Below are 25431 nucleotides of genomic sequence, written 5' to 3'. Positions count from 1 at the left end.
TTGGGGAATTTATGTGTTGGTTGGTTGATTGGTTGGTAAGGGAAGGCAAATGAGAGGAAAATATGTACATATAAAATATGCTCGGTACATTTATGAAGCACCTATCACATAGTTTCCTCAAAGCCTTTTCTACTGTTTCTTTTTCAACTCCAAACATAAGTGTAACCCAATCAAAGTTAATTAAAGCTTCTCAAGGAAAAAGAAGTATGTTTGGAATTTGGACCATGATAAAAGAAGTTGCTACACAAATATATGAAAGGAAAATATTCTACAAACTGTCAGCAGAACAAGCCCTGAAGGCAACTAGTGAGTATTTAATAAGCCCAGACTTATTTCAAAGGGCACTCGTCTGTGGAACTCAGCTGACATGAACAGAGACAAAGAAGTTCACAGTGTTTAGATCTTCACAAAAAGTAAAAGTAAGAAAACTATGTAAAGTCCCAGATTATCCTCCCTGGATCAGCCTAAACTTTGCACTCTGATGGGATGAGAAGTGTGGTAGTCAAGGAAAAGAATTGTCCTCCCTGATATCAGCAAAGACATGTAAAGACCTTCCCATGTATACTAGTTAAGAATACATTTATTTCTCTGTACCTTTTGTGAACCTGCTCAAATTTTTAGAGGATCAGATCCTCTAAGTTTACTACCTCCTCATAAGAGCAACACTTCATTTTATTTTTAATATCCTTAATTTACTAAAGTTCCAGAGTATTCCTCTTAGTCTTAGTTTCAGTGTAACCAGATTCTTTATCCTTATACCCTCACAGAGCCTAGCATGGTGACATTCACTACGATTTAGTAATCATAGTGTTTAGTAAATGATTCATGATTTCGTACATGTCGAGCACATCTCCTTTCAGTCTTTCCATCCCCAGACTTGAGTCTTGAGTCTTGATCTTTCAGTCTATCCCTTTATGACAGCCAAATTTGAAATTTTATACTCAGCGATATTTAATATAGTGGTCATAGAAGGTGGTTCTAAATAATAGGTCTGCCACAAACCACACCAAATTTTAAGCAATCAAGAAATTGATGTTGCAAAACACAAAAATAACAGGCAGAAGTTCCCCCTTGGTTCATCCTCATCCAAAATGTTCTGGAGATTAAAATAATTGTTCATACGCCATCATCATTTAACTTGCCCCAGTCTTAAAAGTCTTTTTATAAACCACCTTAAGGGTCCTTATACCTCTAAAAATTATAAAGGGATTTATGGACATGGAATTCCCTTGTTTGGACATGCTGGTTTCCTTGGAGAACTCACCAAAACATAGATGACTTTAGAAGTATTCAGGGGACATTAAAATGAATTTGTAACTTTTATAGATGTTAAGGATTAATCAAACATCAGGATTAATCAAAGTATACCATAAAGCCAAGTCTTAATATTAACTTCCTGCCAATGAATTAGTTCATCTAAAAGCAGTTTATTAAGTTGAGTTTATAAAATGACTCTAGATGAGTTCACATTTTGCCAGAAAATTCATGTGTGTGTGTGTTTGTGTGTTGTGTTGTGCTAAAAGGACACGCTTGTTAGCACAGAAATTCTGACTTTAACATCCATTCAATGAGTTTCACCAGACCTAAATAAAGGGAAGTGGGGAAAAGACTAAATTGTAGACTAGTTTGAAAAATGCCATGTGGTTATTTTCAAGAGCACTGTCAAAAGCACCAAGGGAAATAGGAGTAGAGCCATATGTTCTTAAAGTGTATCTGATACTTTTTATATGTATTACTTCATATGATATAACGACCTAGGGCCAGGCCCGATATCTCACGCCTGTAATCCCACCACTTTGGGAGGCCGAGGCAGGTGGATCACCTGAGGTCAGTTCGAGACCAGCCTGGCCAACATGGTGAAACCCTGTCTCTACTAAAAATACAAAAAACTAGCCAGGCGTGCTGGCAGGCTCCTATAATCCTAGCTATTTGGGAGGCTGAAGCAGGATAATCACTTGAACCCAGGAGGCGGAGGTTGCAGTGAGCCAAGATTGCACCATTGTACCCAGCCTGGACAACAAGAGCAAAACTCCCTCAAAAACAAAAAAAAAAAACACCTAGATATACCTAGATATAGAGTAACCAGCTCATCCTGGTTTGTCAAGGATGGTCCTAGTTTTAAAACTGAGCTCTGCCTCAGTTACAGCCAAACCAGAGCAGTAGATCACTTTAGCTAAGTAAGGCAGACGATCCTGTCCCTATGTTACCAAAGAGGAGTCTGAAATTTGCAAATGAATGACTCAATCAGAGTCACACATTAGTTGTAAGTGGGGTATTCAGTATTAGAACCCAAGCCTTCTAACTGCTATTATAATAAAAATTTTAAGAAACCAGGCTGTAATTAACACTGTGTGTAAAAACTGCTGTGAAAATTTTATCGGCTTTTATCTTTTCTAGAAACTTAGCCATTCCCTTTGTGATACTATAATTTTGCTCGCCAACTCCCCTTTTAATAGATAATATGGAGAAAAAAACTCAGCCCGGTTCATCAAAGTTATTACAAACTCCCTTTTAACAAAGTCTGAATTGATGAAAATAATTATAATGCTTTTCAAGTCAGTTATTTCCTAATGCAATCGTGAAAATAAGCAGCAGCCTGTGCATTAGCACCCTAAAAAAAAATGTAATATACATGATCTCCCCGTCTTTTCCCATTTATCTTAAAGATGATTTTTTATTGTTTGTGGGGGCAAGCAAGTATCAAGGGGGTGGAAATGTAAAACTGGACAAAATTATTAGACCTGGCTTTATCTCCGCGTGTGACTTTTTGTCATTTCTTCTCAATACACAAAGAAGTGAATGTATGCCCCAACAAACCTCTCCCATTACTGTCCTGTCTGTGCTGAGCAAAATTGAATCTATATGTCTTTAAAATGCCTTTCCATTGCTATGGCTTTTTTCAAAATACAGAGCTTAGTGCAAATGTGGTTCACTAGACTACTAATGCTCATTTGCTCTTTCCCAACAGGCATCACAGTTGATAGGCATGGATTTATTTACTTTGTGGATGGGACTATGATTCGCAAAATTGATGAGAATGCTGTGATCACAACTGTAATCGGCTCAAATGGTCTGACTTCCACACAACCACTGAGCTGTGACTCAGGAATGGACATCACTCAGGTAGGCATCACTGGTTTTCAAGTATTATTGTCATTTGGCATCATGGAAATGGATAACAATTTTCTCATGTAGAAATGAGGTAGAATGGAAGCCTGGCATATCTGTTATAACACCAGATAGCAGAAGTTTCTCTTTATGTAAGTTACTTTTTTCCTCGTTAGAAAAGCTTAGTTGGGAGAAAATGGTAAGCGAGGATGGAAGTAATGTCAGGTAGAATATTGACATACAATTAAGTAAAGTCTCTCAAGCTTGAATTAATCAGAGGGTAAGGCCAATCTCATTTATTGAATATTTCCAAGATAAGTAATTCTATTATTATTTTTTTTATTATACTTTAAGTTCTAGGGTACATGTGCACAATGTGCAGGTTAGTTACATATGTATACATGTGCCATGTTGGTGTGCTGCACCCATTAACTTGTCATTTACATTAGGTATATCTCCTAAAGTTATCCCTCCCCCCTCCCCCCACCCCACAACAGGGTGAGTGATGTCCCCCTTCCTGTGTCCAAGTGTTCTCATTGTTCAGTTCCCACCTATGAGTGAGAACATGCGATGTTTGGTTTTTTGTCCTTGCGATAGTTTGCTGAGAATGATGGTTTCCAGCTTCATCCATGTCCCTACAAAGGGTATGAACTCATTTTTATGGCTGCATAGTATTCCATGGTGTATATGTGCCACATTTTCTTAATCCAGTCTATCATTGTTGGACATTTGGGTTGGTTCCAGGTCTTTGCTATTGTGAATAGTGCCACAATAAACATACGTGTGCATGTGTCTTTATAGCAGCATGATTTATAATCTTTGGGTATATACCCAGTAATGGGATGGCTGGGTCAAATCGTATTTCTAGTTCTAGATCCCTGAGGAATCACCACACTGACTTCCACACTGGTTGAACCAGTTGACAGTCCCACCAACGGTGTAAAAGTGTTCCTATTTCTCCACATCCTCTCCAGCACCTGTTGTGTCCTGACTTTGTAATGATCGCCATTCTAACTGGTGTGAGATGGTATCTCATTGTGATTTTGATTTGCATTTCTCTGATGGCCAGTGATGATGAGCATTTTTTCATGTGACTGTTGGCTGCATAAATGTCCTCTTTTGAGAAGTGTCTGTTCATATCCTTTGCCCACTTGTTGATGGGTTGTTTGTTTTTTCTTGTAAATTTGTTTGAGTTCTTTGTAGATTCTGGATATTAGCCCTTTGTCAGATGAGTAGATAGCAAAAATTTTCTCCCATTTTGTAGGTTGCCTGTTCACTCTGATGGTAGTTTCTTTTGCTGTGCAGAAGCTCTTTAGTTTAATTAGATCCCATTTGTCAATTTTGGCTTTTGTTGCCATTGCTTTTTGTGTTTTAGACATGAAGTCCTTGCCCATGCCTATGTCCTGAATGGTATTGCCTAGGTTTTCTTGTAGGGTTTTTATGGATTTAGGTCTAACATTTAAGTCTTTAATCCATCTTGAATTAATTTTTGTATAAGGTGTAAGGAAGGGATCCAGTTTCAGCTTTCTCCATATGGCTAGCCAGTTTTCCCAGCACCATTTATTAAATAGGGAATCCTTTCCCCATTTCTTGTTTTTGTCAGGTTTGTCAAAGATCAGATAGCTATAGATGTGTGGTATTATTTCTGAGGGCTCTGTTCTGTTCCATTGGTCTATATCTCTGTTTCAGTACCAGTACCATGCTGTTTTGGTTACTGAAGCCTTGTAGTATAGTTTGAAGTCAGGTAGCGTGATGCCTCCAGCTTTGTTCTTTTGGCTTAGGATTGACTTGACAATGCGGGCTCTTTTTTGGTTCCATTTGAACTTTAAAGTAGTTTTATCCAATTCTGTGAAGAAAGTCAAATGAAACAGTGACTGAAATTTAGAAAAATAGTGACTACGAAGTCTCTTTAGACATCTTTTTTAATGAATATATGAGCATGTTGTTATTCACATGTATATAAATAGCTATTTCTAGGGTGTTTGGAAGTTTTCTTAAGTAAAAGCAACATCCCCTCTGAGATCTATTTTACTGTTATTTAGGAAATCTGTGTTTTTTTGGTTTTTTTTTTAGGCCAGTGAGGATAAAAGAAAATTCAGTGTAGCTCTCATCTGGGTCCAAAATTCTGATTTTACCACAATTCTACAAAATCAGTATTAGACATTTAAAGAGATTATAGAGCATACAGCATAGTCCCAACATTCAGTGTCTGACTTTTTTAGTCTGCAGAAACAAGAAATGAAGGAAATAGATTAGACAGTCCTCAAACCTTCCAGCTCTAACATTCCATAAATTTGTGACCCTAATAAAGTAGATTATTAAATAATCTTTTCAAAAACACTAAAGTGGATGTTGAGAGTTTTCAAATTGATTAGTGTATCACAGAGGATGGTCTTGTCTGCAAGTAATAAAATACTTGTCTAAAAGTTGTTTAAACAATAAAGTTTAATTATCTCACATAACGAGTTGTCCAAAGATAGGCAAAGATGCCAGCAAATTTCCTTCTTGTGTCACATTGGCCAGAATTGAGTCACATGCCCATGCCTTCACCAGTCACTGGCAAAGGGGAAATGAGATTCCATAGTGAATTCAGACCCTTTAGAAGTGGGTCCCCTTCCCTGAGCACATTGCTACCTGATTCTTAAACCAAAATCAGAGTTCTGTTAGCAAGGAGTAAAGGGTTGCTACTGGGGAGGCAATGAGCAGTGTACCCCACAGTTATGATATTCCTGTTGCTTCATTTGTCATACCACCTAAAACCTAGAAAAACAAGGTAAATATATTAGTCCATTTTTACGCTGCTGATAAAGACATACCCAAGACTGTGCAACTTACAAAAGAAAGAGGTTTATTGGACTTACAGTTCTCCATGGTGGGGGAGGCCTCACAATCATGGTAGAAGGCAAGGAGGGGCAAGTCATGTCTTACATGGATGGCAGCAGCCAAACAGAGAGCTTGTGCAGGGAAACTCCCATTTTTTTTTTTTTTTTTTGAGACGGAGTCTCGCTCTGTGGCCCAGGCGGGAGTGCAGTGGCGCAATCTCGGCTCACTGCAAGCTCCGCCTCCCGGGTTCACGCCATTCTCCTGCCTCAGCCTCCCGAGTAGCTGGGACTACAGGCACCCGCCATCACGCCCGGCTAATTTTTTTGTATTTTTAGTAGAGACGGGGTTTCACTGTGTTAGCCAGGGAAAACTCCCATTTTTAAAACCATCAGATCTCGTGAGACTCATGCACTATCACGAGAACAGCTCAGGAAAGACCCGCCCCCATAATTCAATCACCTCCCACCAGGTTTCTCCCACGACCTGTGGGAATTGTAGGAGTTACAATTCAAGATGAGATTTGGGTGGGGACACAGCAAAACCATATTAGTAAGTAAAAGGAACACACCCCTAAGAAACCTTGCTTTAGTCATTGACTCTAAGATCTCCTGCCACCTCCACCCACCTTGAGCATACAACTCTATAAAACACTGGCCTGTTTTGAATTTCTGCTTCTCTATGTGCCCCTGCCCTGCCCCAGAAACTCAAGAAATGTTCATATATAGTCAACTACAAAAGTGAAATGGGGAGTTGGGCCTGGAAAACTGACAAAATGAACAAACCCTTTTTTAATAGAGACTTGAATGGGTCAGGCTATCAAGTCCTAGAATAGTCTAACTTTCCATGATTCAAAATGCTGCAGAAGGCAAGGAAAAGGAGCATTATTTATGGCAATAAAGAAGGGTGTGAATGTATTTGTATGGAGGAGGAGGGACAGAGAAGATGCACATGTATGATTCACTTGTGGGATATTTTTAACTTAAAATAGGGCATTTAGTATTGCAATCAGTCAACTCTAAACAACTTTTCTGTTTCTGTGTAGAAAAGTTATGTTGAAAAGAGAATTATTTGTCTTAGTAGAGCAAACATATGATCATCATCACCATGAGAAGGGTTCTTTTTCACATGACACTTTCCAAACATAATTCCCACCATAAAATCTACCTCATCCTTTTCAGGTTGGGAAATACAATGCAGCCCACTGAAAAGAAGCCCTGGTAACCAGGAGACAGAAACTTTTCTCTATGGCATTTCATTCCAAGCCTCAGTTTCTCTGAAGTACCCTCTTTCCCCTTTCTGTACACAACTTTAGCTTTAGAGATACAGTAGATTTTTTTGGAGGCAGGGGAGGTTGTGTGGTATGAGAAGGGGATGGCAGAAGCCAGCAGGATTTACCAGGAAAGAAAGCAGGTTTTATGTCCAGATTATTTGGCCAGTAACTCTGCTGCTATCCACCATTTCCTGTTCTGTGCCTGAGACACACTAAAGAGTAAATCCAATTTGTCCACCCAGACTGGCTCAAAACAAGGAGACTGTATTGATTAGTGTCCAGATTATCACCCTCTACCTTTATTAAAGGCCTACTTCTCATGGCCCCATTTCCCCAGTCTGGAAGTACCTCTGCTGGTCCAAATCCCATTCTCCATCCTCCTCACACCTCACCTCTTCCATGGGAACCTTCCTTGATGGTTCTAGTCCTCACTGTTGCTTCAATCCCTTACTGGAATTTAGTATCACCATGCTTAAATGTAATTTGATCTTTGTTGGCAAACTGTGTATCCAACCCGTCTCCCACAGTAGACTGTGTGTTCCTGGAACATGCATAGGAAGGGCTCAGCAGGTACAGTTAACATCTATACCTGAACCAAAAGGACATAATGGTAAAAAGAATATGAAAGAGTAGTGAGAGATGAAGCTAGAAAGGTAAGTGAGGGTGAAATGGTGAAGGGCCTTCCTTATAAGCATAATGAAGTTATACTGAACAATGAAGAGATAATAACAGCGTTAAGAAGGGAAATGCATTTTTAAAATGGTATTAAGCATGGAAATCAGTTTTCAGAGATCATTCTAGCTGTTGCATGGAGAACCAAGTGAAGCAAAATAACACTAGAGGCAGGGAGACCACTTAAGAGACAGTTGAAGAAATCCAGGTATGACAAGGAAAAAACATATCAATGTAGATATGATCAGCCCCTTTCCAAGGGACTGCTATAAAAATTAAGCTGTTTTCCAATGCTTTTGGGATGTTCAGCTGATATTTCTTTGGGATACAACTCTGGATGAGACTTTCCATGACACTGCTCAGCTTTATGCAGGCTACATAGGCAAGCAATTTTAATGGCTGAACCTAAAATCTCATAGAAAGGTAGATAGATTCATTAAACATTGGAGCCAATATCAAATAACTTGTTGACTGACAATTTCAGAATTGAGGGAACATGTGTATGGTAGTACCATTCACTGGTACAGGGAATACAAGAGGAAGAGAAGCAGGTTTGCTTGATGGTTGGATGATGGGTTCAGTTTGGGGTACGTTGAGGTGCCTGTGTGGCATCCAGATAAAGATATCTGGCAGGAAATTGGATACAGGTTTAAAGCTTGAGGTCTAACTACAGATTAGAGTTGTGATTGCTATTAGTTTACACATGGCAATGGTAAATAGGGGAGTGGATGAGCTCTCTCACGGAGGGTACACAGCATAAAAAAGAGGAGAAGGCTCAAGACCAAACTCTATGGAACACCAGTATTCAAGAAAAAACGGAGGAATGAGAACCCACAAAGGAGGCTGAGAGAAGGAGACCTGGCAATTAGGTGGAAAACCATGAAGGTGTCAAAAAAGCCAAGAGACGCAAGTTTTTCAAGAGGAAGGGAATGGTCAGTATCAAATGCTGCTTAGGGATCATAAAAAATGAGGTGCTTTTTAAAGAAGCCATTAGATTTCACAGCATTAACGCCTCTGATAAGAGTACCTTTGATAGAGTGCTAATTAATGAGAGTCAGATACCAGCGGCAGAGTAGGAAGTGAGGAAATGGAGAAACGGAAAATAGATCACTTCTTTGAGATGTTTGGCTGGGAAGAAGAGGCTTTGGCATTGAAGCAAATCAGCTCTCAGGTGTGGGCAGATCAGCACCCAGATGTGGCACAGGTGGACTAAAGCTGGAGAACACCGAATGAAATTGATGGGTCAGTTGATAGAGAGTTTACCAGGAGAAAGCCTGTGTGTGGCACAGCTTCCTAGATGCTCAGCCATTATGACCAGAGCTTCCCATCTGTTTAGACAACTGTGACAGATTGGCAACCGATGTTTCCCATGACTGTACTTAAGAACATGGGCCATCTTCAGCTAGAGAGAAGAAAGCTGAGCAGGGAGCTTCATAACACCCACCAAGAGCAAAGCCCCAGTTGTTTATAGTAGTACTTACAGTGATCCAGCTGAGCTTACACAGTGCTGAGTTTCATATTTCAGTAAATCAAAATATATTGACGGGTGAGGGCACAGACAAATGTCTAAATGAGAGTGCATTGTTTCTGCTGACAGGAATGGACAGGAGAGAAAATAGAGGCCTATGCTGCAACATGAAGATTTGAATCAGACCTTAAGAAAAGCTTACTGTTTCTAACACTACATGGCAGCATCATATATTTTTAAAAATTTTTTGTGGAGTTCCCACCTTTTGAAACTTTTCAAGCAAATATTGGATAGCAATAATCTATGAATGCTTGACATACAGGCCTCTCTGGAGCCAGGAAAATGGACCAACTGTTTTCTCAAGGTTCCTTCCAACTCCACAAAGGTGTCTCCACAGAAATACAACCAAATTTCTAAAGTTTCTTGTTACCTTTCCAGCATTCCAGCATTTCAAAACCAAAAGATCTCCAACAAAGAAAGGCCCATGTATACTAGCATAGTACCTATGGAGGTTAGAAAGTGATATGAGAGAATGGTCCTCTTCATCTTACTTGCCTTCATCTTCTGTACTTTTCTGTGGCAAACCTAAGCCCAAAGAAGAATCAGTTCTCAGGGCTTGTCCTAATCTTTAGCAGATCATTAAGTCCTATAGTAAGTCTAAGAATAACTGCTACCACTTATAGAGAGCTCACTATGTACCAGGAACTATGCTAAGAATCTAATTTACACTATTCTATTTTGTCTACACAATGCAACCACCCTTGAGAGGTAGATATTATTATCCCCATCTGCCAGAGGAGAAAACTGTTAGTCGGAGGGATTATATATTGTGCTATGACCATAGAGTTATTGAGTGATATAACTAAGATTTTGGCACAAGCTTTCTGAACCCAAGTGTGCATTTTTCCAACCTCTGGAGATGGCCAAATAGCATTGTATTTAGCTGAGTGACAAATGCCGCTTGGTTGAAGAATATGCTGTTTATTCACAGAATGTGTGTTTAGTGGCAGTTAGGAAAGAGTTTAATAAAATCTAATCATCTCAAGAAATGAAATTTGCTTTGACAATAAAATCATCCATTTGTTCAAAATCAATATCTTTTTTTGATTTACTGAAATCTGAAACTGAACTCTCAGTATAAACTCTGAAGCATAACTGCCCTTTGTAAGCACTGCTATAAGCAACCAGGCCTTTCACTTCAGGAGATGAGTTGATTATCAAGACACTGGGTGCTTTATTTCTGTTGCTGCTTTTGAATCATCCTGCTCTGGTAACTCACTTCCATCTGATGCCTGACTAGAATGGAATTGGGAGTTAGAGCAAGTTTCTTGATGGGATAGCAAGTTACTCCTTGGAGCCAGCCTAATGCTTTTCCCAAAGTCAGCCCAATAGGAGATACACAAGCAAGATGGACCTTTTGCATGCATAGGAAATCCTGTTGACCTACTGCCCATAAGGTACACACTTTGAGGTGTTTGTCTAGAGCATCCAGATACACAGCCAGGGCTTCATAAGTGCTTATTGGATGATTTGTGTGTTTCCCACTGGTTTCCAACAGCACCCATTTGTCAGATGGGTCTAACACGGGTAGGGGAAGCATCATCCATAGTTGTGCAGGAAGGAAGGTAACATTCTTTGGAGGAGCAAACTTTGTCCTCATATATTACATCTATTGAACTAGTCCACTAGGAATCTTACTCTTCTCAGTTATTTGATGCTTGACTCCTCTCCAGAATATTCTGACCATGTAGTAACAATCCAACCTATTTTCAAATGCTTCCTGTGTTAGGGAATTAGTACTACCTCCCCCAGGCAGCACATTCCATCTTTGAATACCTCTGACTGATGACAAGCTCTTCTTGGATCCCTTTGACTTTTTGTCTTCCTTTAACTTTCACCATCCAGTCTTACTGCAACTGTTCAGGCTTTCTTGAATTATAAATTTAATCTATATTCTATGAGATCAATCTACTAGTGAATCAAGCACAATACTGGGTACGTTTATATATGTTATCTTATTTAATCCTCATGACAATCCTTCAAGATAGGTATTATGTTCCCCTGTTTTTAATACATATGAAAAACAAGATTCAGAGGAATTGAGTAACTTGGTTAAGGCCGCACAACCAATAAGTGGCTGAGTTGGAATTTGAACCTGGTCAACCTGACGCCAAAGCCCACATTATTTTCACCAAATTACATTAAACTGCCTCCTCCACGTGACAGCCCTCTTAGTACAAGAAAACAACTCTTTCATGCCTCTTAAGTCACATTCCCACTTCATTTAACTATACTTCATTTTACATGGTTTTGAGTTCCTTCACCATTCTTCCAGAATGGAAGCCACCATGGCTTCCAGAATGAATAAAATAATCCAGATGTGCTCTGAGTACTCAGAGGTAGAATGGGAACTGTCACAACTCCCTTTCTATATTGTTTCTTTTCCTTTTGCCCATTGATTGTTTAAAAAAAAAAAACTTTAGCCACAGAACATTTACTTCAAACAAATCAGTCTCAATTTATAAAATAGATGCAAACAGCAGATTCAAACAAGAGGTGGTGTCCCAGAACCTTCTTTATTCAAGCTTACTTCCGTGTGATGGTAGCTTGCATGGTGACCTCAAAGGCACTTTTGCAAAATGCTAAAGAAATAAAGGGCACAGATTAAAGAACCACAGCTAAAGTTGACCGGGATTTTTTCACAGCTGTATCACACATTTGACATATGATGTGATGTAATTACAGAAAACTAAAAATTCACGTGTCTCTCATTCCCATCTCCTCATCTTACACTTGCACCATTAGTGATTTACAACATACTGCTGGGTCCTGCCTTAGTCTCTATTCAATTCCATGTTGTTTGAGTTAGTCCAATTCTTTATACTCTTCTGATATCATCTAATATTTTCACTATCCTTCCCAGCCTTGTGTCGCCTATGTATCTGATGAATGCCTTCTATGCCTTCATCCATTATAAAATTGATGGATAGGTAGGTGCAATTGTGGCACCAATAGACTAGTTATCTGTTAGATTATGAACCCATGTGTTTGAACTCTCACCTACTCATTGTGATTCTTCATAATACATTGGGAAATCAATATAATGGCCTATGACCAGCTTTTTAAAAAGGTGAAACACAATTTTAAAAATCAAGGTGTATCATGTGTAATGAGGGTGAGTAGTGTTTCATAATATTTTTATTTCAACTGGATAATGGTGTAAAATACAGTTTTTAGTGAGTGTCACAGTCAAAACAAGTTTGAAAGCCACTCTCTTCACTGATATTTCCCCCAACTTATCTGTAAAGGTGTCATGAGAAACCTTACCAGGTTGGTAACTCTGTTTAAAAGGAAATAAGAACCACTTGAAAAAATTTGTTTCTAGTCACAGTGTCTGTAAACATCATTTCCTCATCTAAGAGCTAAAAAAACAACTGTTTCATAATACAATTGAAGATCTTTTCCAAATCAACATAAAGCTCCCTCCATGCAGGTTGTGGGGCACATTTCTGATTCTTCTTGAAGTCAGAACTATATTTAACCATCTCTAATCTTCTGGTGCCCACTATTTCTCAATAATTACACAAAAAAGTTCTAAACCCCATTTGCATGTTCTCTATAAGGAGTGATTCTTCCTAGCTAGAAAACTTGAACTCAGTTAAAGAATTTAGATGCTCTTTTACAATCCCTTCATCCATTTTTGGCTTTGGTAACTCTGAATCAATATTCTCTGTCGTCATTCTCCTTAACAGAGAAAACAAAACCTTCCCCTCTCTCTCATCCATCAGTACTATACCACCTGCCCCAAGCAGCAGACCTCTGCCTTCCTTGGTTGTCTTCTGCTCTCTACATAACTGAAAAAACAACTTTCTCTTGTCCTTAGATTTTTTTGCAAGCTTCAGATAAAATAACACAGCTCTGTAGAAGGGGTAATATGCAGCCTCCTCTTCAAAATCTATATGTCAATTTAATTTTATACAAGTGGGTTCAGCATTTTCTGTTGTTTTAAATACACACACACACACACACACACACACACACACACACACACACACACACACACACACACACACATAGTCATCCAGGCATGAAAAGTTACAGCAATCTGGGTGGAAAAAAAAGAAAAAAAAAAACAGTAGTTTTAAAGCAGAAGAGGGCTAGGCATGGTGGCTTATGCCTGTAATCCCAACACTTTCAGAGGCTGAGGTGGGCAGATCACTTGAGCCTCAGGAGTTCAAGACCAACCTGGGCAACAGGACGAAACCCCCGTCTCTACAAAAAATACAAACATTAGTCGGGCATGGTGGTGCATGCCTGTAGTCCCAGCTACACGGGAGGCTAAGTTGGGAGGATCACCTTAACCCAGGGGACAAGGCTGCAGTGGGCTGTGATTGTGCCACTGCACTCCAGCCTGGATGACAGAGTGAAACAATGTCTCAAAAAAAAATTTTCTTTAACAGAAAAGGCACCTTCTTTTCCCCTTCTTAAACTCTTGCCTAACATCTGTCATTGTCTTTCCCTCTCTCCCTTGCCAACCCTTTCATGTCTACAGAATGTCCTTCATCATCCTGAGTGATACTGATACAGATGATATTGAAACTCAACTTCTTCATGGATTACTTGCTTTTCTTTGTGCACTTCCATCAGTCTCCCATGTGCACACTGAAAGAGAACAGAATTAGATCTTTCAAATGAAGGCCACTATAAATGAAATTCCCTGCAGGGACAGACTTGTGAGTTTTGTGAAGCTCTGTAGGGAATCAAGAAAATCTGAATTATAATAAGTTTGCTTGAATAAAGGGATCTCCCAGGGGAAAAAGAAAAGAAAGTTTATTTTAAAAGTTCTTGCCACCAAAGATGAAAATCTCACCACCTCCACCCCACCACACCCTCTCAATGTTTCCATGACTATGGAACTTATCTCACTGTCAAAGCAAAGAAAAGGTCTCTGGCCACACTCCAGATAATTCAGACACAAGGGCATGTGGTAGAAGGAAAGAGTGAGTTACAGGTAGACAGCAAGACAGGGACGATGAAAGCTATATATCTGAAATATTTGAAAACACATTTCTCAAGGGTCAGTAATACCAGTGTGCAGTAGGCACAAATAGGTGGGAAAAAAAGAGAGGTGAAGAAAGGATAAGAGAAGATTAGAGAGTGGACAGAAGATCAAACAGCAAATTAATGAGGCCCAGGGAGTAGTAGAATGGAACGAAAAATGTCATTTGGTGGCCCTTATGCCAAACATTTACTCTATCCTAATTGGTCATGGTTAGTTTAACCAATTGAATTAACTATTTTCATAGTAACTATCAACTAATAGATTAGATGGCATTAAAAGCCATACCAACCAAACCTCCAGTGTATTTTCCCATTTTCTTTCACCGTTCTCATGCCTGGACCACAACAATAGAGCAGCAATTTTAACTGCTCAGCAATGGGCTATTGCAGGAGTCCAAACATAAGCATCCTAAATCAGCAATGTTTTGTTCTATTCATTTGAGCCACATGCACTCAGTCAAACCACGAGTCACAGCCAATTCCTCCCGCTGATCCAAAGGCTTATATTATAAGTGCAGAAATGGGAGTGCTTGTTAGTTCCTACAAGATAAAGAGGGAGCTCAATCTACATCAACCATAGCAGGAAGGCATTGTTAACTTAGCCACACTCTTCTCAAAGACCTCAATATGTCAATTACCTTAAATGTGAAAGTATTTAAATCAGAAAGTGATGACTACTGAATAAAAATGAGCAAACTTTCTACCAGACATGTTTATAAGCCTGGAACAATTATTCATATTTCTTCAGGAGTACAGAGGCATGTTTTACCAAACTTCTCTGGACAGTTGCCTAATTCACCTATTTTCCTTTGACTAAGAGTGTTCTAGTAGAAGGAGTATAGACAATCCTGGGTGTGAGTCCATATTCTGCCATTTATTTGCAGTGAGACCTCAGACAAGTTAATTAAGATCTCTGAGCCTGAGTTTCTCCACCAATAAAAAGTGGGATAAAAACATGTAATGTCTCCTAAGGAGGTCATGTCAGTTAAATGAGAAAACACACATGAAGGAAGTTTCTTTTTTGAAAGGCACTTGCAACTATAAATTGTTGGAGCCGATCAGAAGTGAAAAAAGAGACCATATGGCATTACATGTAACCTTGGCTTTTATGTGTACGTTTGCCATGTCAGTTAGGTAGGCATGTGGAAGGAAAGTGGCACAAACTTCAGTCTACATAGCAATCAAATTATGCTGTCACAGAGCATGAGATGGCAGGAAGAGTTGTTTAGACTCTGATTTGACAACAGCACCAAAAGCCATTTAAAAAGGCTTTTTTCAGAGTCCCTAGTGGCTCTCCACATTATTACTCACCTGTAAATGAGAGATCCATTAGAGTTTATGGCTGAAAATTACATAATAATGCTAAATAAACACTATTTGTAGTTACCGGGTCTATATTTTAGAAAAATAACATTTCGTTCTGTATCATTTATTCTGCTCTCCTCTGAAAGATGGTAATACAGAAAAAAATGTTAAATCATTTTTTTCTATTTCTTGACCCAAATGAAGGTTCTGTATAATTTTGGATTCAGTACTAGATGTAAAAACTGACACTAGAATTTTGGAGCTGGTTAATTATTCCTCCTTATGAAGGCTAATTAAATAAATGACCCAATTGTTGATTAAGTGGCCTCTCTTTTTTAATGTGAAAGCACTTGGAAAAGTGTGAAGGGCTTTACAAATAAAAGAGATGATGTAAGATGTTAATTGGCATCTTCATGAAGTATTTTCTGTTGATTCATCATACACTTGCTAAAATGGGAGGACACAAGAACCAAGTAAGTCTGCAAGGTGGTTTTTCTGATTTTGAATATCTGTAGTTGTCAGTCTCTAATTTAAATGCATTTTTGCTTAATGTTATTTATTGCTTATGCAACCCAGACCTAGTCTCCTGGCTCTGTCAAATGCAGAAAAACACCTTCTGGAACGGCAAAGGAGAGCCAAACCTTTCTCTAATCCTTTAATAGAGGATGCAAGAGACAAAATCAGGCCTTTAGGGTAGACTGTTCTTCATAATTATACCAATATATAAAGTCAGTAAAGCTTAATGGTATGGGAATACAGACTGCCTGGGTTTAAATCCTAGATCCACCACTTGCTAGGTGTGTGCCCCTGGGAAAAAATTCTGTATCTGTAAATGGGGGTGATAATGTTACTTTCCCCATAGGGAGGTTGTGAGAATTTAATGTGGTAATATGCATAAATCACTTAGCAAAGTGTTTGGCTCATAAGCGTTCAATAGATTATTATTTTATCATTATTATTATTACTATTACTAGTAATAGTAGTAGTAGTAGTATTTGACCTTCTGCTCACAAAAGAGAATTGAACTGATAGCTTACAAAACTAAAAGGGACCAAGAAGTTTAGAACTGATAGAGAAATTATATAATCTTCCTTTCTGTCCTTTTCACATAGGTGTACCTTTTACAGAGAGGCATATATCTGTCTGTAGGTGAGTGTGATGGGCTGTAGCAAACATGTTCCAGAGACTGGTCTTAACCTGCTGTGACCTTCCCAGAATGTTTTGTCTCCCTAGTGCTGATGTGAAGCTCTGTCTAGATCACTTAATGAATGTTCACTATAGTCATTGAATGGTGCCCCAAATACTTCATCTTCTTTCTACTTTCACATACTGTTGTGATGACTATGGAGCTGAGGCTGGAATGTAGTATGAGTTTTATACATCTGTGAATGTAAGATGTTAGATCATCCTCTATCTCTTTGAAATCAAGAAGTAAAAAAGCAGCTCATTCAGTGGGTGGCCTGCAGCCATTCTAGGTGGGTCAATTTCACACACACAAAAAAATAAATATTAGAGTACATAAGAAAGAAGACAGAGTTTATCTAGGTCACTATGAAGAATATGACTTTCCCAAGACAAAACAAAAAGGCTCCCAGCTAAGTGGGAAGTCAAAAGGAAAGAAGCTGATATATCATAAGAAGAAAGCAGCATCCTAGGATTTTTGAAGCAAGTTTGGTCTATGAATTTTTTCATCTAACTAATGACTTCTGTTTTTATCAAGATATTCAAGTTTCCAACACATCTATCAGTTTTCTTAAGTCTATTATATATATAAAAAAAACCAAATTTAACAAAATGATAAACTGGGAGAAACAATGCAATGAGACTATCCGCAGAGTTCATTTAAATATTGTATCCTTTCTCCAAATTTATTTAAACCTTTTTTTAACTGTTTTTCAGGCCTGCATCTCTTAGGTAAAATCACAATATAATAACCTGTTATCAGAGATATTTCCATTGCTCCCTCCAAAGTGACAGCTCAGGTTGTTTATATAAGTAGAGAACAGCAGGCCAACATCCTCAGCTCCAGCATATCCAAATTCTGCTGAAATGTCTGCACACAAGCAAATAGCCAAAGTTGTCAGGGGCCTTAAAATAAAAGTCAAGTACCGTGCTCAATGCTATATCAAAAACATAATTTATCACATAAATAAAACTCCCTCAGCAGTGTCCTCTTTCCACACAAAGGACAATGGCACGTTAGCTCTTATTAAAACTATTAAGCACCAGAGGAAAAGCATCTTCAAAGTTCAGGGCAAGTCACAAGATGCAAGGCTTGCAAACCTGCTTTTGAACCACTCAGTCTTCCACACATTTTGCTCAGCAGGTGCCATGACCTGAGGTGAACCTGAAGCTCTCTAAGATACAGAAATATCTAAGATACTTCTGTATCTCTCTAAGATACAGAAATATCTAAGATACTTCTGTATCTCTCTAAGATACAGAAGACCTACGATAGTGTATTGCTGTTCCTCTATCCTTGTATGTGGGTTGATGTTGTGAATACTAGTCAAGATTCAGTCAGAGGCCAGGCACAGTGGCTCAAGCCTGTAATCCCACCACTTTGGGAGGCCGAGGCAAGCAGATCACCTGATGCCAGGAGTTCTAGAAGTAAATTCAGTGGTTAGTGTCTTCAGGTTCTAGGGATAACATCCTGTGCTGAGTCCCAATGCAAGCCAGTTGGCCTAACTAAATTTCAGACTACACTGTACCTTTAAACCTACTCCCACTCTCTATTAATTATGAGAGGGGAAAGTGCACGAATCAGTGCCAACCCCTCTTTATCAAATGGAAATACAACTCAAAGAGAAAGTTATTTGGCTGTCAGCAAGAGTGCCATCTTTTCATGCAAAAGTTGGTGTGTTTGGAAAAGTAAACATGGGGACATATAAAATGTTACCAACAGGCTACACCTGTTGAAACGTGTTTATCTTGAGATACATAACAAAGAGCAGGGGTTCATTTGGCGCATCTCAAAACACACTTCCAACTCCAAATCAATGAGAAGAGGATTCTGAAGGAGTAATTGCAATGTCTGACAAGAAAACTAGCAAGAGTGAATATAAAAGAAATTTAATAGTAAATATCTAATGTATTACTGTTAACAATTGAGCACATAGGAAATGTTGTCACGGGGCAACTTCATGAACCATTTGGTACAGAATTGTGTCTCCGAATAACATGGGAGAGTCACATGATCGACCATGAAATCATTCTCAAAAATTGCAAGAATGAGAAGTTTCTAGAGAATAATGACATAAACATGGCATTTCCAGAGTCAGAGAAGCTCTGGATAAAATCATTCACAACCAACTTTATAACATCCAAGCACAGTGGATTTCTGGACTTTCATAGCAAAGTCTCTGGGGCCAAAATAGTCCTTGCTGCTTCCAGTTCACCTTTACTAGTTTTCTGTTACCACTGACCTACAATAGTGTATTGCTGTTCCTCTATCCTTGTATGTGGGTTAATGTTGTGAATGTTAGTCAAGATGCAGTCAGAGGCTGGGCGCAGTGGCTCATGCCTGTAATCCCAGCACTTTGGGAGGCCAAGGCGGGCAGATCATTTGAGGTCAGGAGTTCAAGACCAACCTGGCCAACATGGCAAAACCCCGTCTCTACAAAAAAAAAAAAAAAAAAAAAAAAAAAATTAGCCGAGCATGGTGGGTGCCTGTAATTCCAGCTACTTGGGAGGCTGAGGCACAAGAATTGCTTGAACCCAGGAGGCGTAGGTTGCAGTGAGCCGAAATCATGCCACTGCACTCCAGCCTGGGGGATAGAGCAAGACTCAGTCTCAAAAAAAAAAAAAAAAAAAAAAGATGCAGTCAGAAAAACAGAAAGTACATTCGTTATTTTAACAGAGAGGATTTAATATAGAGAATGTGATGTACAGATGTTACAGGGTCAGAAAAAAACAAGAGATAGAGATAATATCTGTAGGAAGTGGCCACCATCTCTCCGACTGGGGAAACAAAGGGAAGAGGTTGGGGTTGTCAGAACCTAGAAAGTTGGAGAATTTGCTCCATGGAGGTAGGACCTAGTCCTCTGAGAAGAAGATGCCAGCTAGCCCCATCTCTACTAAAAATACAAAAAATTAGCTGGGCGAGGTGGCGGGTGCCTGTAGTCCCAGCTACTCAGGAGGCTGAGGCAGGAGAATGGCATGAACCTGGGAAGCGGAGCTTGCAGTGAGCTGGGATCATGCCACTGCACTCCAGCCTGGGCGACAGAGTGAGACTCAGTCTCAAAAAAAAAAAAAAGAAGATGCCAGCTGGTTGCTTCTGGTGCCTCTGAGGCAGCATAATGAGACTGATTCTCAGGGTAGGGAGAGGAGCTGGAAGTGCAGTCAGGTACTGCTTCCAGGATGAAGGGCTACTGTTGAGATGACACTGACAGGAACAGAAAGCAAGCAGGAAGGATCAAGTCCCTTCTCCCTCCTTTAGCTTCTCAGAATCTCTTTATTTTCTGTATCGTCAGGACCTATCAGAAATCTAGCTGGCAAAAGAAAAATGTAGATTGCCGAGTCCCAACCCCAGCATCACAAAGCAGCATCTTTAAAGGGGTGAGTTGGGAGCTGTGAGACAGTAGCTTAATAACTAGCACACTGTGCAATGAGGTGTTAGATTTTCATGTCATTGTTGCTGCTGGAGTCACTCAGATATGCTTACAGTTTAGATGAAACATTAATTAGAGTGGACTGTTTGTCACAGAGGATTTCATCATTACTGAATCTGTAAGAACCTGTTATTGGGAGACCTCAGCCAGATTTGCTATTCGTGAGGGTGATTTTGCCTCCCCTTTTATTGAAGCTCAGATACTCACTATTCATCACCATTTTTTGCTTTTGTTCAGGCTTAAGTCTATAGCCCGCATGCTTCCTTAAATGATTCTGTACACATGGTAAGTGGTCAGGTGGCCGATCTCCAGAGTTCTAGAAGCATGAAGCTTGAGCTGGGCCATCTGTTGAGTGAGTGCAGTTTTGTATTACACACAGGGAAGTGGTGGGCAAAACCCGGAAGCACACTGGAGGCCTAATGAAAATACCACCAGTTAAATCTTCCCTCTAAATGTTCATTAGGCCATCTGCTCTTATTAGTGTCCCTATCATTTGGAAACATTACAGAGTTAAGATGAGAGAGACAATCTGTGGAATTCTAGTATAACTTGAAATGAACTTTTGAGTAGAACAATCATGAGTTGTGATGTTTACCTTCCCATTCAGAGCCCAGCCCACTTATAGCTTAACATCTCCATGGTGAAAATTTTTAATAGTTTCTTCCTGAAATATTATAACAGAAAGAAGGGTTAGCAGTAGCTACAGAAATGAAAACATAATCTCAGAGTGGCTGATCAATGAAATCAGACCATTTCATAAAAGCTGTGCAGTCATACTTCTGGCCTGTAAATTGCTTTAGGTGCCAAAGGGAATTGGAAGCTTGGTCTGTCCTGTCAAGCCAATACTATAATATTAACAACCTGCAACAGACAAGTTTCTGCAACTTCTCAGCAGAAACAAATTGCAGAATGATTTCAGGGGCTTCTTTATAAGTCTCTGGCTCCTATGCAAGCAAAGCCTTGGATCTCAAGAGGACAAGAGTCTCACTTCCTACTGTGTTAAGACCAGCAGAGGTCCTGTCCTTACTCTGAATTATCTCAGACTTTATGGGCTCATCACGCAGCCTCAAATTTGATTTCTTATTACCTTGAACTGTGTACTCTGATTGCCTCTCCTTCTGTATGTGTATCCCCCACAGTGCTAGATATACAGTAGATATTTAATGAATTCATGTAAAATTAAATTAAAATAGAGACTCAAAATAAAAAAACATAGTAACATTTTCATATTCCTCTTCCCACCCCCAGAAGGGCTGAGAGGGTTCAGTTCTTTAGCGTAATGATAAAACCCGAGAAACAGAGATACAAACAGTAAATCGGCAAGTAGCATCATGTAAGTAGCATCATGTACAATATGTTCTCCTTACAATAACAATCAAATTTACAAACAAATTAGCTGTGGAGTCTGAAGGACATTCTGTAGTTTTCACACTGGGCCTTCATCTCCTGCTGATAGATGACTTTGACTGTAAATTGAAAACTGGAAGTGGTTAAACATTCTGTGTATTCACAAGTGCCATTTCCAAAATTGAGGCTTCAGAGAGGAGATGCAAGAAAGGGTCGACGGAAACTCAGAGCAATTATGCCTGTTATTAAGATGAGGTAGTGGCAATTACACAGCAGACTCAGAGAGAGTGTGTACGTGCTGATTGTTCTGAGGCAGCCTGTAAGAACAAACTTTTATGGTACCCATCAGGCATTGGGTCTCTAGAGGAAGTGAAGATTTTCAGCCACTCCTTCAGTATGCTTTTGGACAGGACTTATGGCCCCAGGAACTATCTTAGGAGGAATATATGCTTTTTTCTTAATGAGCTTCAAGGAAACCCTTATATAATAGAGTGGTGTCTTTCACTGTTTCTTTCCTCTAGGATAACCATTCTCAAGCATTTTGGTCTCAGGACCCATTTGCATTTCTAAAAATTGTTGGGGGCCCCAACGAGCTATTCTTTTGTTGGTTTTATCCTATGAATATTTACCTTATTAGAAAATAAAAGTGTGATTTTTTTTAAAACTGAAGATACACTAGCCTGAGGTAGCCTCTGGAAAGCCCCACTGTACACACATGATAAAGTACAAAATGCACATAATATTATTTGAAAAATAGTTTTGACCTCATAGACTTTCTGAAAGAGACTTGGGAATTCCCAGACTCCCCAGACCAAAATGGAAATACCATATTTCCTAAATTCTAAGACACCATGGACTATAAGACATAACATCAATTCGATATCTTTGGGTAATGGGGAGAAATGTACCATCAAACATACACATTGACTATAAGATACATCTTCACTTCAGAAAAGTTAAAGTATGGAGGCAGTGGGAAATGCATTTCTTAAAATTGAGGTATTTATGGCAATTTACACTAACCTCAGTGGGTCTCTGGAAACCCAGATTTACTGACACAAACATGTTGATGAGAAATAGTTTTTCTTAGAGCCTATTTGCATGTTATAATTTTTTTAAATGCTTTCATGGACCAAAAACATTACTGTCAATGAAGCACTAATATTTTCATTCAACAAACGTTTGCCAGCTTAATGCCAGATACTAGGAAAACAAAAATAAAAGAGTTCTCATCTTTGCCGTCGAAAACTCATAGTCTTGGTAGAGAACATAGGAAGACAAACAAGTATTTTAGAATAAGAGAGAAGTACTGGATCTAAATGAAGGAGTCATGGAGCTGGAAGAGCTTGAAGTACCCAAAGATGGAGCCCTAGGTATTCAAGAATGCTTGAGGTTAATCATTAGGTTTAAGCAATTAGTCATCCCCTTAACACTGCCCTAGTGGACTTTGCTACATGCATCAGTCTCTTTCAGACTTAATTTATTTCAATTTAGTTTAATTTAATTTTCCAATCATAGGTGATTCATCCAGAGGTGTAAAACTAGAAATCTGTTAGACCAGTTTGAATGTAATGTTGTAGTGAGTAACTCCAGTCAAGACCAAAGCCTAACAGAGCACTGTCTTCCCCGTGATTAGATTCAACCAAGAATAACAGAAAACCCTAACATGACAGTGATGTAAGCAAGAGAGCAGCCAGGCTAGATGTGTGGTTTAGGGCTGAGATGGCAGCTCCGCAGTGTCATCTGGGTTCCAGGTTTCTGTATTTTTGCCTTGCCACTCTAACACATAAATTCCATTTTCAAGGCCACCTCATGGTCCATGACATCTGCTAGAACTCTCACTGGTATATCCACATTGCAGAATGGAAGAAAGGGCAAGAAGAGCTTCCTTCCACTTGGGTCAGCTCTCCTTAAGCAGCCTTTTTAAGTATCTATTTGTAAGTGTGGGTGCTTCCACACTTCCTCTTACATATTATTGCCTGGAACTTCACTTGACTACAGATAATTGCAAATAAGGCTGGAATGTCTTGTATTCTAAACAGCAATGTACTCAGATTCAAAAACAGAGTTGGCTGGGTGTGGTGGCTCATGCCTGTAATCCTAGCACTTTGGGAGGCCGAGGTGGGTGGATCACCTGAGGTCAGGAGTTCAAGACCAGTCTGGCCAACATGGCGAAACCCCATCTCTACTAAAAATACAAATACAAATAAAAATAAAAAAATAGCTAGTTGTGGTGGTGCATACCTGTAGTCCCAGCTACTCAGGAGGCTTAGGCAGTAGAATTGCTTGAACCTGGGAGGCAGAGGTTGCAGTGAGCTGAGATCATGCCACTGCACGCCAGCCTGGGCGACAGAGCAAGACTCTGTCTCAAACAAACAAACAAACAAACAAATAAATAAATAAACTGGGAGTGTAATCAGGAGGAAAGAGTGAATATAAGAATAGGCCTAGAACCAGCAGTCTCTGCCACAGGAATTTTAGGAACCACAAATTTAACATTTTGTTTTGACCCTGATATTGTCTGAGCTTCTTCAAATTTATAAATAGGAGAGAAAATCCATCTAGATAAAGCTTGGTTTTCTACAGTTAGAAAACATGATGACACCTAAAAGAGCGATGGCCCTTATTGATCTTGCTTGCAAAAAGTGGAAATTATTAGAAGATGAAATATACTAGGACTACTTTGGAAGTTTTGCTTTGTTTGGTTTGGTTTTGCTTTGCTTTGTTTTCCCCACTTCCAAAATGTTTTAGGAACATTGGGAGAGATGCAATTTAATCTATATCCTCTGCAGTAGAATAATTCTCAAGATCAGCCAAATTGTTACTCTTGATTAGATTGATCCTAGCTATTCATTTGCAATGAACAATGCAACTTAAGTGTCAGTTACTCTAATTGGGAAGCCATGGAAACAGACCATGCCAATGCATTTGACCAAAGGTTGAGAGGTTCTTCAAACTCTCCAGCCATTATGCAGAGAGACACAAGAGTGTGTATCTAAGATAATGGGAAATAATTTGCCCTGTTGACAAGGCCATGTAATCTTGGTGTATTTCATCTTCTAATAATTTCCACTTTTTAAAAGCAAGATCAATAAAGGCCATCACTCTTAAAGGTGTCATCATGCTTTCCAAGTGCAAAAAACCAAACTTTCTCCAGATGGCTTTTTCCCTCTTTTATACATTTGAAGAAGCTCAGAGAGTATCAGTGTCAAGAAATGAGAAGACCATTTGAAAACTGACAAAAAGTGATGCTAACAATCTGGAGTTGTCAGCTTTTAGAAGTGCGGAAAAATCTAACATGGAGCTGGCATAACACCTGGCAGAGAGCACTCAGTCCTGTCACTGTATCTTCCCCAGGGCTGGCATACTACAGAAGAGATAATCATACGCTTCCTGGAAATTCCTACTGAAGAGGACTCACAGATCAAAATCAAACAGAGTCATTTTTTAAATGAGCCACAAGGCTCCCAGTGTAGTAAAAGAGGGAGATTAGAAGTGTCATGTTTGAAATGGGGAGGCAGGACCTTTTGGGAAACAACTGGTTTCTTCAGCACACTTGAACTTTGGGAAAAGAAATTATTAGCACTTGGTGACAATTGTAAAATATAGTAACAGTCATGATATGTTTTTGAGCACTTCCATAAATGTTAACTTCTTAAAATGAATAAACTGGAACAGAAATAGTCTACTGCTCTATGCCACTAACAACCCCTTGTACATACTGGAAGATGAAGGAAATGAAGTCAGCAAAAGACTATAAACATTAT

General features: G+C 39.2%; 1 protein-coding gene across 15 annotated transcripts in view; it reads left to right on the top strand.

The window, feature by feature from the left end:
• The window catches only part of TENM1 (teneurin transmembrane protein 1), an 828410-nt gene that overhangs the window by 747853 nt on the left and 55126 nt on the right, over nucleotides 1–25431 (top strand). For all 15 annotated transcript variants that reach the window (XM_017029210.3, XM_017029211.3, XM_047441760.1 and 12 more), the window contains one exon: nucleotides 2969–3123. In XM_017029210.3, coding sequence (XP_016884699.1) covers nucleotides 2969–3123 — 155 coding nt within the window. The remainder of the gene's footprint in view (nucleotides 1–2968; nucleotides 3124–25431) is intronic.

Source organism: Homo sapiens, chromosome X, assembly GCF_000001405.40.
Source record: "Homo sapiens chromosome X, GRCh38.p14 Primary Assembly".
NCBI lineage: Eukaryota > Metazoa > Chordata > Mammalia > Primates > Hominidae > Homo > Homo sapiens.
The sequence above is the reverse complement of the archived record's forward strand: the minus strand, read 5'-3'. Positions and strand labels throughout refer to the sequence as shown.